This window comes from Homo sapiens, chromosome 1 (genome assembly GCF_000001405.40).
Source record: "Homo sapiens chromosome 1, GRCh38.p14 Primary Assembly".
Lineage (NCBI taxonomy): Eukaryota > Metazoa > Chordata > Mammalia > Primates > Hominidae > Homo > Homo sapiens.
The window spans coordinates 235994753-236010636 of NC_000001.11; the positions used below are offsets into that span (position 1 = coordinate 235994753).

The following is a 15884-nucleotide window of genomic DNA, read 5'->3' on the forward strand; positions in this document are numbered from 1 at the left end:
GTGGCATGATCTCGACTCACTGCAATCTATGCCTCCCAGGTTCAAGCGATTCTCCTGCCCTAGGCTCCCGCATAGCTGGGATTACAGGCAAGCACCACCACCTCTGGCTGATTTTTATATTTTTAGTAGAGACGGGGTTTCACCATGTTGGCCACGCTAGCATCTCAAGCTTCTTGATAACCGACAAGTCAAGGCCAAAGATTTCAGGCACCAGATACCACCAAGTGCGTTTACCAACATTTGTATGTTTTCCTTTATTTATGTCCTGCTTTTTGGCATGGAAATTGACCTCTAAACTGTACAACTCAGATCTTAAGACAGGGAAATACAGTGAACACTCCATATCCACGGGTTCCACATTTGTGGATTCAACCAACTACAGATTGAAAATATTTGGAAAAATAAAAAGGATAGTTGTGTTTGTACTGAACATGAACAGATTTCTTTTTTGTCATCATTTCCTAAACAATACAACAACTTCTTACATGGCGTTCACATTGTACTAGGTATTATAAGTGATCTAGAGATGATTTAAAGTACATGGGAGGGTGTGCATAGGTTATATGCAAATACTACACCATTTTATATCAGAGACTTGAGTACCTGTGGATTGGTATCTTCAGGAACCAATGCCCCGTGGATACTGAGGGACAGCTGTACTTCTAAAGCTGTGGAATTGCTAGTAAACAACTTCCAAGCCGTAGTGGATTCCACACTGGTTAGAGTTCAGTCACCAGTCCAGAGTTGTAGCCTCTGCAGTATCGACCACACAAAGCAATGTCCAGACACTGGCAGGAGGTACCCATTCTCCACATCACTGTCTGCTAAGAGCTATACTTCATCCATGTCTTGTTGCCTCTCCCTCCCAGGCCTTTCCACGTGCTATTCTTTTTGTGACTGTCCTTCTCCCTGTCTGGTTAATCCTTCAGAAATCAGCTTAGGCACTTAACTCCCTTCAGGAAGTCTGTTCAGCTCCCCAGGGCTGAGTCCAATCCCCTCTGTGAGCTCTCAGGGTGATCTGGGCTTGCCCACACCATACCTGTATCTCACTGACTCTAAGGAGCTGTTCCTTGTTTATCTCTCTGGAAAAAATCTCCTTAACATTTAGTCAAGAAGCATCTACTCGGCCAGGCACAGTGGCTCACACCTGTAATTCCAGCACTTTGGGAGACCAAGGAGGGAGGATCACTTGAGTCCAGGAGTTCAAGAACTGGGCAACACAGCAAGACCTATATCTATAAAAAATAAAAACTTAGCTGGGTGTGGTGGCATGCACCTGTGGTCACAGCTACCTGGGAGGGTGGGGCAGGAGGATCTCTAGAGCCCAGGAGTTTGAGGCTGCAGTGAGCCATGTTCAGGCCACTACACTCCAGCCTGGGTGACAGAGCAAGACCCTGTCCCCCAAAAAACAAAACGAAAACCCAAAAAACCAAGAAGTACCTACTTGACTGTGCTGGGGGATGCACACAGGAATAACCCATAGCACCTGCTGTCAGGGAGCTCACAGTCTGGAGGGAAGCCAACAGCTGAACACACACTTTGCAATTCAGTGAGTGGCTGCCTTGACAGAGGGAGATAGCAGCTACACAGAAGAGACCGTCCACAAGGCATGGAGAGCCAAGGAATGCCTAGGTGCTTTTTTAAAAAATATATAATTTGTATTTCTCTTTTTAATTCTGTCCATTTTCACTCCATGTATTTTTTTTTTAAGACAGGATTTCACTCTGTCACCCAGGCTGGAGTGCAGTGGTGCAATCTCAGTTCACTGCAACCTTAACCTCCCAGCTCAAGCAACCCTCCCACCTCAGCCTCCTGAGTAGGTGGATCTACAGGCATGCGTCACCACACTTGGCTAATTTTTTGCATTTTTAGTAGAGGTGGTGTCTCACTAGGTTGCCCAGACTGGTCTCGAACTACTGAGCTCAAGTGATCCATCCATCTTGACCTCCCAAAGTACTGGGATTACAGGTGTGAGCCACCAAGCCTGGCCACTTCATGTATTTTTTTAAGTGGCAGGGTCTTGCTATGTTGCCCAGGCTGGCCTCCAGCTCCTGGACTCGAGTCATCTTCCTGTCTCAGACTCCTGTGCTTTTTTTTCTGAGATGGAGTTTTGCTCTTGTTGCCTGGGCTGGAGTGCAGTGGCGCGATCTCGGCTCACTGCAAACTCTGCCTCCCGGGTTCAAGCGATTCTCCTACCTCAGCCTCCCGAGTAGCCGGGATTACAGATTCTTGCCACCATGCCCGGCTAATTTTGTATTTTTAGTAGAAATGGGGTTTCACCATGTTGGTCAGGCTGGTCTTGAACTCCTGACTTCAGGTGATCCGCCCGCCTCAGCCTCCCAAAGTGCTGGGACTATAGGCATGAGCCACCATGCCTGGCCTCCTCTCTGCTTTTTTTTGATGAGTAGAAGATTGTGGTTGAATAGGTCTAGGGTAGGGCTCAACTGACTTCTCCTGTTAAGAGGAAGAATAAATATTTTCGGCTTTGTGGGCCATGAGGTCTCTGTTACGACTACGCAACTCTGTGGTTGTAGCATGAAAGCAACCATGTTTCATACCTCAATGAATGAGTGTGGCTTTCCCAATAAAACTTCATTTACAAAAACAAACAGTGGGCCAGATTTGGCCTATGGGGACTGTAGTTGCCAACCCCTGCTCTAGGCATTACCAGTTATGTTAAGGGGAAATATGTACTTATTTGTATATATGTTTACACATGTGTACATTAATTAATATATACTAAAATGTTAATTAATAATAAAAAATATACTGTAATCACATAGACTAGAATATTATATATTTCTCAGAATTTTGCACCTGGGAATGTTTTTGACTCTCAGTTCCATTACTTTTTTTTTTTTTTTTTTTTTAAATTAGAGTCTCACTCTGTCTTGCACAGGCTGGAGTGAAGTGGCCTGATCTCAGCTCACTGCAACCTCTGCCTCCTGGGTTCAAGCAGTTCTCCTGTCTCAGCCTCCTGAGTAGCTGAGACTACAGGTGCCCACCACCATGTCTGGCTAATTTTGAATTTTTTTGGTAGAGACGGGGTTTCACTATGTTGGCCAGGCTGGTCTCGAACTCCTGACCTCAGGTGATCCACCCACCTCGGCCTCCCAAAGTGCTGGGATTACAGGTATGAGCCACCATGCCTGGCCTCAGTTCCATTACTTCTGGTGTCACCTTGTACATGTCAATGATACAGATTAAGCTGTGCCTCCTGCAGCAGTGGAACAGGGATGGCAGTAATAACAGATCTCACAGGACTGTTTGAGGAGTCAGTGGGAGGTGACGAGACAAGGCACACAGAGACATTTCGAGCTCTGCACCCAGATGTTCATTTGCGACTGGATCCTCGCAAAGCAGACACAGTGACATTCCATAAGTGTGTTGCCAGTGAATATTTGAAGTACCTTTGTCTGTGTTGCCAGTTCTCATGTTGGTTTGCTTAACGTGGTTGCTCCCTTGGTGAGAAGCAGTTAGCATGCCAGAAAAGTATTTGTTGAACCCAGCAAGACAAAACCATGCATGCTTTTCTTTTGTCCCAGAGGCTAATTAATATAAAAAACAAAACAAAACATTTGAAGTAGGAAGCACCAAACAAAGATACAAGCAAGCCATCTGGTTAGAATAAAAAATGTCTGGCTGGGCACGTTGGTTCACGCCTGTAATCCCAGCACTTTGGGAGGCCGAGGTGGGTGGATCACCTGAGGTCAGGAGTTTGAGACCAGCCTGGCCAACATGGAGAAACCCCGTCTGTACTAAAAGTACAAAAACTAGCTGGGTGTGGTGGCGGGTGCCTGTAATCCCAGCTACTCGGGAGGCTGAGGCTGGAGAATCATTTGAACCCAGGAGGCAGAGGTTGCAGTGAGCCAAGATTGTGACATTGCACTCCAGCCTGGACGACAAGAGCAAAACTCTGTCTCAAAAAAAAAAAATCTGGTTTTGTTCACTCTTGAATGTAAAACGTGTTTACTTCCACAAAATTTTACGTTGGCATAGGGTTTTAGAGTTTTCATATAAGCTGTTTCCATTCACAGATATGTTTCATTTGATTCTCATTGCAATCCTATGTGATAAGCAACTGCAGTTTTTACACCAAATGAGAAAACTGAAACTCAGAGAAGTTGAGACTCCTTCAGGCCACAGCACTGGTTGGTGGCTCAGAGACTCCTTCAGGCCACAGCACTGGTTGGTGGCTCAGTTCTAACGAGAACCTAGGTCTCTGGGTTTGTGGTCTAGCCCCGCCCTTCTGGTCTGGCATCTGGCGTCCACATTGCCAGTGCTTAGACGGCTCCCTCACATTGAACCTGTTACGACAACAGCGATGTACACACAGTACCTTAGCTCATTCACCAAAATTACCTGTGCATCCAGAGCCCCATTTTCCTACCAATCACATCTGCATGTGGTGGTGCTTTTCCAGTTAGAAAACAAAACTGGTGTCCTGTGTGCTGTCAACCAAACAAAACTTTTCATGCAGTAAGCGTTGTTCCATTTTATGTGGCCGACAGAGTTGTGTTAACAAAGTATTTGGTCAGCATAGAAAATCTCAAGGGCTCTAGAATTTACAGTGGAACTTTGAAGTACTGTATCTTGAACTTGTAAAAAGGAGGGGGAACCTCAACTGTACTCAGGAAATAGAATCTCAAGTGAGTTTATAAAAAGCTGTGATCTCGGTGGACTTTCTGGGCCAGCAGACAGTGGGAGCAGCCCAGGGGCTCTAGGGAGAGTCCCCTGCTGAGTGTCCCTGGCCCCCATGGGAAACTTTCCATTAAAGGCCTGGTGGATGGGGTGGGGGTAGTGGGGATGCTAAAGACGCATTTCCTGAGCTTGTTTCTGGTTGATACATTGATGACTCAGACAAGCGTCTTCTTACTCATCTAGTTCGAGCTGCTAGGGAAGAAAGCATTCAAGACCTGATACTTATCTGAGGAGTGGCAGGAAGTCTGGGGTGACTTTTCTCAAGGTGGGGGGACAAAGAGAATGAGAGGAAAATGAAACAGAGTGTAAACCAAAAATAAAATTCCAAGTCCGCCTACCATCGGAATGGACCCCTCCTCTCAGCCGAGGGCATTCCAAAGTCAACCTATGAAACTACTTCAGGCCATGAGAGGAAGGGGAGGGTTGGCCACGTCTCATTACCATTAACATCAACATGGACCTTAAGACTGAAAGAACAGGCCGGGCCCTGTGGCTCTCGCCTGTAATCCCAGCGCTTTGGGAGGCTGAGGCGGGTGGATCACTTGAGGTCAGGAGTTTGAGACCAGCCTGGCCAATGTGGTGAGACCCCATCTCTACTAAAAATACAAAAATTAGCTGGGCGTGGTGATGGGCGCCTGTAATCCTAGCTATTTGGGAGGCTGAGGCACGAGAATCTCTTGAACCCAGGGAGTGGAGGTTGCAGTGAGCTGAGATTGCGCCACTGCACTCCAGCCTGGGTGACAGAGCGAGACTCTATCTCAATTAAAACAACAACAACAACAACAGCAACAACAAAACCTGGCAGAACAGACTCTTTAAGTCTGATAAGAAACATCTACAATCTGTTCTCTCTGAAGCCGCCTACCTGGAGGCTTCATCTGCATGACTAAACCTTGGTCTCCACAAGCCCTTATCATAACCCAGACATTCCTTTCTATTGGTTCCAGGTTTTTAGATAATAACTCAACCAATTGACAATCAGAAAATCTTTGAATCTGCCTATGACCTGGAAGCTCTCCCTCCTACACTTGGCTCCCAGTTGTCCCACCTTTCTGGACCAAACCAACATACATCTTACCTGTATTGATTGATGTCTTATGTCTCCCTAAGATCTATAAAACCAAGCTGTAGCCTGACCACCTTGGGCATACGACATCAGGACCTCCTGAGGCTGTGTCACAGGCATCTCCTTAACTTGGGCAAAATAAATTGTTAAATTGATTGAGACCTGTCTCAGATACTTTTTGGTTTACAAGAAGGAGAACTAAGAAGAAAGTACATTCTTGACCTTGGATTTGCATTCCATTCCCTTGCTTGATTAAATTGGTTTCTCTGTGTTCATTCAAATAAATGACAATTGTAGCCTCTCATATACTCAATAGAGTGGAGAGAGGGGAGGTGCTCACAGATGTCAAGACTCTCTGGAAAGAGACGACATGCAACCGTGGGAGAACCCATGGGCTACTCAGAATGGAACTTGTTTGGGAAGGTGCTATTTATTCAGCATCTTCCTGCACAGAGTCCACGCCCCACTACAGAGGCAGCTACTCCCAGGGCCTACACGGGTTCTGAGCATGCACCTCTGGGACACACATCTCTGGACAAGGTCACTCAGGTGCAGTGAACAGTCCCTGGTCTCTGCTGGCTTTGAGATTTTTTTTTTTTTTTTTTGGAGACAGAATATCACTGTCGCCCGGCCTGGAGTGAAGTGGTGCAATCTCAGCTTACCGCAACCTCTGCCTCCCGGGTTCAAGCGATTCTCCTGCCTCAGTCTCCCAAGTAGCTGGGATTACAGGCGCCTGCCACTGCGCCCAGCTAATTTTCTGTATTTTTAGTAGAGACGGGGTTTCATGATGTTGGCCAGGCTGGTCTCGAACTCCTGACCTCGTGATTCACCCGCCTCGGCCTCCCAAAGTGCTGGGATTACAGGCTTGAGCCACCACGCCCAGCCTGGCTTTGAGATTTTGCTGGCTTATAGCCCCATCTCATTCACTGCCAAATAGACACTTGTTAGTCCAAGCAAGACTGCCAAATTTCCAAGAAGGAGAATTTACAAGTCAAGGGGGCAATGTCCATCTGACATGGTCTTCATCCTCATGTTCCTAGGGGCCACTAAGAACAACACTACTAATAATAGTGATAGCAACAGCAATAACGGTGATAACAGCTTTCTTTACTTATGAACTCTCTTCATGTCCCTTCCCAACATTTACCCCCATTCTCACAGGGCTAGAGAGGAAGACGAATGGCCAGGGAGGGGCACTGAACTCGCAGTTAGGAAAAGGCAAACAAAGAAGGGAAAACAGAAAGGTCGTAAACCAGCATGGAAGAGAGCTTGCACTCCTCCTCTGTGTGCAGTCTCTTCTGTCACAGTGTGAAACTGCATTGTTGAGTTTCATCACACCTGTTTCCTGGAGCAGCTCTTGGCTCCCAGCTGCCTTCCTCTCCCAAAATTCTACCACAGCAGGGCTTTTAAAATCACTGTAGTCATCATACGCTTCAGGTCAAGAGCCCCATGGACACGTGAAGCACTTACTCACTAGTGTTATAAGCATTTAGTGAAAGCTGCCATCAGCCAGGCGCCCTGCAAGGGCTAAATAGGAGAGTCCTTGATTGTACAGGCTAGTGCAAAAGATGAGGGCCCTGGTCAGTGGCACAGTGGGAGAAGCGGCTGGCTGTGGTCTGGACAGGCTGCTATGGGACAGAGAGGAAGAGCACCACACCTGCCTTGGTCAAGGGCTTGGCTGACATTAAAGACAATAAATCAGGCTGGGCGCGGTGGCTCACGCCTGTAATCCCAGCACTCTGGAAAGATGAGGCAGGCAGATCACCTGAGGCAAGGAGTTTGAGACCAGCCTGGCTAACATGGTGAAACCCCGTATCTACTAAAAACACAAAAATTAGCCAGGCGCAGTGGCACATGCCTGTAATCCCAGCTACTCGGGAGATTGAGGCAGGAGAATCGCTTGAACCCGGGAGGCGGAGGTTGCAGTGAGCCGAGATGGCACCACTGCACTCCAGTCTGAGCAACAGAGCGAGACTCTGTCTAAAAACAAACAAACAAACAAACAAACAAACAAAAAATGACGATAAATCTGCGGTGTGTCCAATACACCCAGCCACAGCAGCCTAGGCGCAGTGGCTGAACGGACTTAAGACAAGAGCTTTGCAGGCTGAGAGTGCAGACGGATAGGAAGTCAAGAAATTCCAAGCATTGGTGAGGACGGTTGCCTTTGTGCTTCCTGGGGTTAGGTTAGAGAGGACTTCAAGAAAAAGAAGGGATGGAGGAACCACAGGCTCAGCGATCACTCCGCGGATTTGGAAACGAGGCCATGTGAGAGTCACAAGGGAAGGAGGTGGCGGTCAGACGTGGCCACAGACATCAAGACCGGGAGCTTGTCAAGCCTTTGGGTGGCCTGGTTTGGACCCTCCTCAACATCAACTCCCCCATTTGCCTGACTGCCCCTCCTCCTCATTATTCCTCCCTGTCTCCTATTCAAATCTCACCTGTCCTTCAAGGCTGAGTGCAAATCCTCCCTCTCTCACTCTCCCCAGCTTTTTTAGCCCACCTGCATCTCTGCTTCCTGCTGCTAGTTATCACTGGTTATCACTCCTAGTGAACGAGTGGTAGTTGTCACTCCTAGTGAACGACTGGTAGTTGTCACTCCTAGTGAACGACTGGTAGTTGTCACTCCTAGTGAACGACTGGTAGTTGTCACTCCTAGTGAACGACTGGTAGTTGTCACTCCTAGTGAACGACCGGTAGTTATTCACTACTAATTTCAAGTATTCCCTTTTCCTGCCCAGTTACAGTGCAGACTCCTCCAGGGTGGAGACGTTTTACTGTTCATGTGTCAAGCACAGTGACAGGCACACAAGAGATGCTTAAGAAATATTTAACTATTGGTCCTGGCTATGCTACTAGTTAGTTGGATGCCTTGGACAAATTATCTAGTCTCTCTAACCCCCATATCTTCATGCATTCAATGGGGCTAATCGTACCAGCAGTGACGTGCACCAGCCAGAAATGCAGAAAACCCTGAGGTGTGTTGTCCTGGATACCAAATGAAGAAAGTGTTTCAGGAAGGAGGGCGAGACCAATTGTGCCAAGTGCTATCAAGAAATGAGGCCTCAGGCCAGGCACGATGGCTCACACCTGTAATCCCAGAACTTTGGGAGGCAGAGGTGGGCAGATCACTTGAGGCCAGGATTTCGAGACAAGCCTGGCAAATATGGTGAAACCCCGTCTCTACTAAAAATACAAAAATTAGCCTGGCTTGATGGCAAGCACCTGTAATCCCAGCTACTCAGGAGGCTGAGGTGGGAGGATTGCTTGAACCCGGGAGGTGGAGGCTGCAGTGAGCTGAGATGCAGCCACTGCACTCCAGCCTGGGCAACAGAGTGAGATCCTGTCCCAAACAACAACAACAATAGCCAAGCGTGGTGGCACACACCTGTAATCCCAGCTACTCAGGAGACCAAGGCACAAGAATCGCTTGAACCCTGGAGGCAGATGTTGCAGTGAGCAGAGATTGCGCCACTGCACTCCAGCCTGAATGACAGAGTGAGACTCTGTCTCAAAAAAAAAAAAAAAAACAAGAAGAAAAGAAAAAGAAATGAGGCCTCAGATCTAACAAAGGGAGGGTTGTTGCTGACTTTTACGAGAGCAGTTTGGGTGTTGTGGTGGGGAAAGAAGCTGACTGCAGTGGTTAGAGAGAGAATGAGAGACTCTGGAAGAATGCAGGAGCTTACTTTTTAGAGTCCAGTTCCAGATGGATTAACTAGGTAACAAAATCCATAGCCCATGGGTAGCATTTACAAAGCAACACGGTGATAAGGAAGGGTGAAGGGACACACCACCAACTTGTCATCTTTGTGTGGCAGACAGCAGAGGAAAGGGGCAGAGCATCTCACAGTGTGGGAACAGGAAAGCCCCAGCGCTAACAGGCACTCTAGAAGGCACTGCAGGCCAATGTAAAAACAGCAGCAAAACTGGGAGGGTTTTTCTTCCTTTAAGTTAAAGACTAAGCCAGGCGCGGTGGCTCATGCCTATAATTCCAGCACTTTGGGAAGCCAAGGCGAGTGGATCAGGAGGTCAGGAGATAGAGACCATCCTGGCTAACACGGTGAAACCCTGTCTCTACTAAAAATACAAAAAATTAGCCAGGCGTGGTGGCGGGCGCCTGTAGTCCCAGCTACTCGGGAGGCTAAGGCAGGAGAATGGTGTGAACCCGGGAGGCGGAGCTTGCAGTGAGCCGAGATCATGCCACTGCACTCCAGCCTGGGCAACAGAGCGAGACTCTGTCTCAAAAAAAAAAAAAAAAAAAAAGTTAAAAACTAAAGGGGCTAGAAGAGCTAGACCCTAGGAAATTGACCGGGCTGTCAGGGCATCACACTGGGAAGACAGTGCTGAGAGTGGGATCAAACTTAAGCAGGATGGAGCCCGGCACGGTGGCTCACGCCTGTAATCCCAACACTTTGGGAGGCTGAGGTGGGCAAATCAGTGAGGTTGGGAGTTCGAGACCAGCCTGGCCAACACGGTGAAACCCCATCTCTACTAAAAATACAAAATTAGCTGGGAATGGTGGCGTGCGCCTGAGTCACAGCTACTCGGGAGGCTGAGGCAGGAGAATTGTTTGAACCTGGGTGGTGGAGGTTGCAGTGAGCTGAGATCATACCACTGCACTCCAGCCTGGGTAACACCATCTCAAGAAAACAAAAGCAAACAAACAAAAAAATGTAAGCAGAGACCAGGTAAGAGAAGGCCCAGATATAGGCGGGGGGTGGGGAGAGAGCCAGGAAATCTCAAAAGCAAATTGCAATGCTTTTTTTTTTTATTTTTGAAGATGCAAGAGTGTTTTGTTCTGCTGAAAGCATATTTACTGGCAGTCTAAACACAAGAACCTAAACAACTGCTTTTGGAAAGCATAAATAACACACGATCGTAATTTTGTAAGACACAACTCTCAAGATATTTGAACCAACTGTCTGTTTTTTCTGATTGCAAAATGATTCATATGCCATACACTTTGACAGAAAATTTCTTTTACTAAAAAGATTTCTTCTAATTTACCTTACATTTTGCTATTTTTAAAACAATACTGGGCAAAAATTATGTGCTATATAAGTGTTAGCTATTATTACTTTAGTATTACCCCTTCCACTAGATAAAAATTTCACTTCTTTAAACTACTGTTTGATGTAGTAGATATCTATTCATATTATTTTAGGGAGGCATTCTTTAATGAAGACACATCAGAAAGGAAAAGTGGTCAAAAACATAGCTTATCTGAATTTTAAAATGAACAAAAATCCATAAACATCAACTAACTTCTGTACAGAGCATAGTAGCTAATTATCCAGCCTGCACTTTCTAATAGTAATAATATCATCATAAATGTGCACAGTGCCCTCACTGTCAAAGTTCTTTAACTAAAGTAACAGGAACCACTCTGACTTAACCTAAACCCAAAGGAAGAATTTATTATGAAAATATAGTTATGTCATGTGAATCAGAAAAGGGACTGGAACCAGAAATAGACAACTGTCAGGAACTAAGAGCTCCTGTCTCCTTGTCACTCACTTGCTTTATTTTTCTCTTGGGAGACTGACTGTCCTCTGCTTCTCCACCCATATACCGAATAAAGCTACCTCTCTACTTCCAAATTACAAATACAGTTTTAGCTGTTATTTCATTGCAGTGAATAGAATTAGACTATCACCATTTTGCTCCCCCCCATTAGAAATGAGTGGACCCAGGTAATAATGAGCATGAATTCCAATGAATAAATGAGAAAGTAATGATGAAATTAGAATATCACCATTTGACCCTCCCTAGAAATTAATGGGTCTAGGCAGTAATCATCAATAGCTCCTAACATCACAAAAAGTGAGACAAGCAGACATACACTCCCGATGAAAGATCACACCACCACCTATTGTCTTGCCAAAAGGATTGAACCTAAGTCTGATCAAGCATCTGACAATCTGCAGACAATTTAGAGGACAAAGGAGTGTGTAGTGCTGTACAATGAGTGTGCAATCAGCAAGATCCAGACTGTGGGAAACTACAGATCTAAAGGCATGGGTTCTTCAACAGACCAAATGCAAGGAAAGGAAAGGGATGGAGAAGAAAACTATAGATAGAAAAATGAGCAGCACCAAACCTACAATGACTAGGAATGCACTCAAGTGTGATAAAGCTATTAGAAATGCAAGGAAGAGACAACTACAGATGCCAGGTTAGTGGTTGCTTTTGAGGAGAGAGAGGAGGCTATGATTGGGGCAGGTGGGGCTCCTGGGGCTGCTGGTAAAGCTCTACTTCAAGATCTGAGTGGTAGTGACAACCAGGCTCACCTTAGAGTAACTCCTTGAACTACATATTGCTTGCATCTATGTTTTATTTTTACAATATAAAGATAGGAAAAAAAATGGAAGATGAGAGAGGAGGAAGTGGAGGCAGCAATTCCAGACAACCTTGATGAAGAGTTAAACTATAAAGGGAAGGATGGGGAGGGGATGGCAGTGAGAGAGGGATGCAGGGTTGAGGGAAAGCTTCATTTTGTTTATTATTTTTAAATTTTTTTGGAGAAAGGGTCTAGCTCTGTCACCCCAGGCTAGAGTGCAGGGGCACGATCATAGCTCACTGCAGCCTTGAACTCCCAGGCTCAAGTGATGCTCTTGCCTCGGCCTTGTGAATAGCTGGAACTACAGGTGTGTGCTAATTTTTAAATGCCATGCCTAGAAGTTTTAAATTTTTTGATAGAGATGGGGTCTTGCTATGTTGTCCAGGGTGTTCTTAAACTCCTGGACCAGGTTTTACATTTCTAGCCCAAGACATTTAATGCCTCTCTTTGATCCTCTAATAAACTCCCCTATGTTACAAAAACCTAGCCAGTTACATTCCCTCAGATGTTGTCCAGGCAAGGTCAGGGTCAGTGGCTATGGTGGCCGACCTCCAAGATGGCCCTCATTCTCCCCACTGCCTGGTCTTCCATACTTGGGCAGACCCCTGTCACACTGCAAGAGGGATGGCCCGAGACTGATGGTATCAACAGAAGCGATACTTGTCACTTCCAAGATTCGTTTATAAAAGACTGTGGCTTCCATCTTGGTCAGTCTCTCTTTCTCTCTCTCTCTCTCTCCTTTGACTTGCTGTGGAGGGGGCCAGCTGCTAGATCTTGAAGACACTTAGCCATCCCTGTAGAGAGACCCATGTCGCGAGGAACTGAGGCCTGCTGACAACCATGCGGGTCCTTCAGCAGGGATCCTTCTTTGCCATCACAGAAGACCACAGCCCCGACTAATGTCTCAGCAGCAACCTCATGAGAGTCCCTGGGTCCAGGGACCACCCAGGAAAGCTGCTCCTGAACTCCTGACGCACAGAAACTGTGAGAAAATAAATGTTCATTGTTTTAAGTGGCTAACTTTGGGGATGATTTGTTATGCAACAATAGAGAACTAATATGGTGGCTTTCTAACTTCTAACCATGACCCATAGAAAGAAACAGATTTTACTCAGCATCCCAGTACACCAGCCCATGCACACTTAGACACGCATACACATGTGCACACACACACGCACACATGCTGGCATGCACTCACCCATGCACATACACAAACATACATACAAGTATTGCTTCATGAAACAATACTTACTCCTACTACATATATTCTCCTCACTCTGATATTTTCTAGATTATTGTTTGCTATTTCAACATGCCATTTAAAAGAAAGTGAGAACAGCAAGCCACTAAACTAACTTCACAATCCATACACAGGGTGTGGAGCAGCGTGCAGAAGACAAAGAGGAACAAATCGCAATTTCTCGTAGTTTGTCTGTCATCAGTTGACATTTCAGTAGCCATGATCTTCACTGGCTCACCTTCAAAGCCAGTTTAGTTTTCTTTTGGAAACTAGCCCCTTCTGTATACAGTAAGTACCAAATAAGTGCTGTATGATCCCTGTCCTTTACTATGATAGGCACCAGGAGACCAGATGACACTATGCATTATTTTTCTCTGTGTAATGTTTCATAAAGTATTTATTTATTTATTTATTATTTAGAGATGGAGTCTTTCTCTGTCACCCAGGCTGGAGTGCAGTGGTGCAATCTTGGCTTACTGTGACCTCCGCCTCCTGGGCTCAAGCTATTCTCCTGCCTCAACCTCCTGAGTAACTGGGATTACAGGCATGCACCACCACGCCCAGCTAATTTTTTTTTTTTTTTTGAGACGGGATTTTGCTCTTGTTGCCCAGGCTGGAATGCAACGGCGTGATCTCGGATCACCGCAACCTCTGCCCCCCAGGTTCAAGTGATTCTCCTGCTTCAGGCTCCCAAGTAGCTGGGATTACATTCATGCACCACCACACCTGGCTAATTTTGTATTTTTAGTAGAGACGGGGTTTCTCCGTGTTGGTCAGGCTGGTCTTGAACTCCCCACCTCAGGTGATCCACCCACCTTGGCCTCCCAAAATGCTGGGATTACAGGCATGAGCCACTGTGTCCAGTCTTCATAAAGTATTTTAGTCATATACAATTTAGAATAATATGATGAAAATATGTGTATTCATATTCCGACTGAGAAATAAAACATTAGAAACGCAGACGCAGCTCTTGTGCTGCAATGTGAATGTTTATGTCCCTCCCAAATCCACGTACTGAAATCCTAACTCCCAAGGTGATGGCATTGGGGGTGAGGCCACCAGCAGGTGACTAGGTCATGAAAGGGGGGCCCTAATGAATGGCCTTAGTGGTGCCCTTATAATAGCGTCCCCAAAGAGACCTCTTGCCCTTTCTACCATATAAGGACTTTGCAGAAAGATGTCTGGCCGTCTGTGAACTAGGAAGTGAGCCTTCGCCAGACACTCAACTTCTCAGCACGTCGATCTCAGACTTTCCAGCCTTCAGAACTATGAGAAACAAGTTTCTGTTGTTTATAAACTCCCAGTCTATGGTATTTTGCCAGAGCAGCCCCAAACAGACTAAGACACACCATGTAACCCTCCCCAGTCCCAATTCCCTCTCTCCCATTATAGAGGTAACCTCTGCCCTGAACTTTTCATTTCTCATTCACTATGCATGTTGTAGCTTTCTTATGTATGTACATAACATAACACATGTAGGTATATTTTCACATAGGCTTATGTTTTATACACATGGGGCCATGCTATACATATCCTTTTATAATTTCTTTTGCTCAACATTACGCTTTTGAGACTTACCCCTGAACTCTAGTTCATTCATTTTAACTGTTTTATGTCATTTCATTGTATGGATTATACCAACAGTCATCTGTTTGTTCCTCTTGTTTGCAGTCATTTATATTTTTTTCTATTACAAACAAAACTCAATGAACATTCTTACACGTTTCTAGTGAACACTCTCTCCAGTATATAACCAAATGTTAAACTTCTTAAGGGAACAAGATCCAATATCTAAACAATCCTGGCAAGCAGCCCTTATTGGTTTTAACTTTGTCCCATCTTTAGATTCCAGCCTACACGCCTGGATCTGTTTCTGTTTAGTCAACAGAGTTTTCAAGAGGGGACAAAAAGTCAGGTTAAAAAAACAAAAAAACAAAATTGGAAACATCTGCTTCTCTTTAAACTGGAGATGTGAAGCAAGACTGAGGAAATAATGAATATTAGTCATTGTTAATAGTAGCTGGAATGTGTTGACTCAAATGATCATAAACTCTTCTCTATGTAACCTGCCTATTAAAATCTATGAGTAGTGGTATTTGTTCCCATAATTTCAGGAACAAAAGGTTGCCTTGCCTAGGTTTATCGAAGCCAGGAGTCAGCAACTTTTTCTGTCAAGAGCCCACATAGTAGGCTATTTATACTTTTTTTTTTTTTTTTTTTTTTGAGACAGAATCTCACTCTGTCACCCAGGATGGGGTGTAGAGTGATCTTGGCTCACTGCAGCCTTGATCTCCCTGGCTCAATCTTCCTACCTCAGCCCCCCGAGGAGCTAGGACTACAGGTGTGCCACACCACACCCAGCTAATTTTTCTATTTTTTGTAGAAACAGGGTCTCGCTATGTTGCCCAGGCCGGTCTCTCAAACTCCTGGACTCAAGTAATCTGTCCACCTCGATCTCCCAAAATGCTAGGATTACAGGCGAGAGCCATGGCACCCAGCCTATTTATGCTTTTTAGGCTGTGCAGAGCTTACAGTCT

The 15884-nt window shown here is 45.7% G+C and overlaps 1 protein-coding gene across 1 annotated transcript in view, besides 10 other annotated features; it reads right to left on the reverse strand.

The window, feature by feature from the left end:
* Window positions 1–6134: part of a meiotic recombination region, noted in NCBI's record as "this region was identified as a recombination hotspot within the HapMap YRI population", that runs on past the window's edge. NCBI's record gives the evidence for it as "EXISTENCE:nucleotide sequencing assay evidence [ECO:0000219][PMID:20981099]".
* Window positions 1–6566: part of a biological region, named in NCBI's record as "meiotic recombination hotspot NID2", that runs on past the window's edge.
* NID1 (nidogen 1) overlaps window positions 1–15884 on the reverse strand; it is an 89261-nt gene that overhangs the window by 18923 nt on the left and 54454 nt on the right. The window lies entirely within an intron of this gene.
* Window positions 2090–4731: a meiotic recombination region, noted in NCBI's record as "this region was identified as a recombination hotspot within the HapMap CEU population". NCBI's record gives the evidence for it as "EXISTENCE:nucleotide sequencing assay evidence [ECO:0000219][PMID:20981099]".
* Window positions 3138–6566: a meiotic recombination region, noted in NCBI's record as "crossovers mapped in sperm cells of males of European ancestry". NCBI's record gives the evidence for it as "EXISTENCE:DNA detection assay evidence [ECO:0005519][PMID:16543360, PMID:15880103]".
* Window positions 4474–5673: an enhancer, noted in NCBI's record as "P300/CBP strongly-dependent group 1 enhancer chr1:236162526-236163725 (GRCh37/hg19 assembly coordinates)". NCBI's record gives its function as "activates an origin of replication core promoter dependent on BRD2, BRD4, P300/CBP, MED14 and CDK7 cofactors, with strong dependence on P300/CBP, by STARR-seq in HCT116 cells {active_cell/tissue: HCT116}" and the evidence as "EXISTENCE:reporter gene assay evidence [ECO:0000049][PMID:35650434]".
* Window positions 4575–4624: an enhancer, noted in NCBI's record as "active region_2810". NCBI's record gives its function as "activates an Ori minimal core promoter by ATAC-STARR-seq in GM12878 lymphoblastoid cells {active_cell/tissue: GM12878}" and the evidence as "EXISTENCE:reporter gene assay evidence [ECO:0000049][PMID:35858748]".
* Window positions 4665–4734: an enhancer, noted in NCBI's record as "active region_2811". NCBI's record gives its function as "activates an Ori minimal core promoter by ATAC-STARR-seq in GM12878 lymphoblastoid cells {active_cell/tissue: GM12878}" and the evidence as "EXISTENCE:reporter gene assay evidence [ECO:0000049][PMID:35858748]".
* Window position 4859: a sequence feature, noted in NCBI's record as "sequence feature; approximate center of NID2a meiotic recombination hotspot". NCBI's record gives the evidence for it as "EXISTENCE:DNA detection assay evidence [ECO:0005519][PMID:16543360]".
* Window position 6233: a sequence feature, noted in NCBI's record as "sequence feature; approximate center of NID2b meiotic recombination hotspot". NCBI's record gives the evidence for it as "EXISTENCE:DNA detection assay evidence [ECO:0005519][PMID:16543360]".
* Window positions 6700–7408: an enhancer, noted in NCBI's record as "H3K27ac-H3K4me1 hESC enhancer chr1:236164752-236165460 (GRCh37/hg19 assembly coordinates)". NCBI's record gives its function as "activates a minimal SCP1, AML or CMV promoter by ChIP-STARR-seq in primed H9 embryonic stem cells {active_cell/tissue: H9 hESC(primed)}" and the evidence as "EXISTENCE:reporter gene assay evidence [ECO:0000049][PMID:30033119]".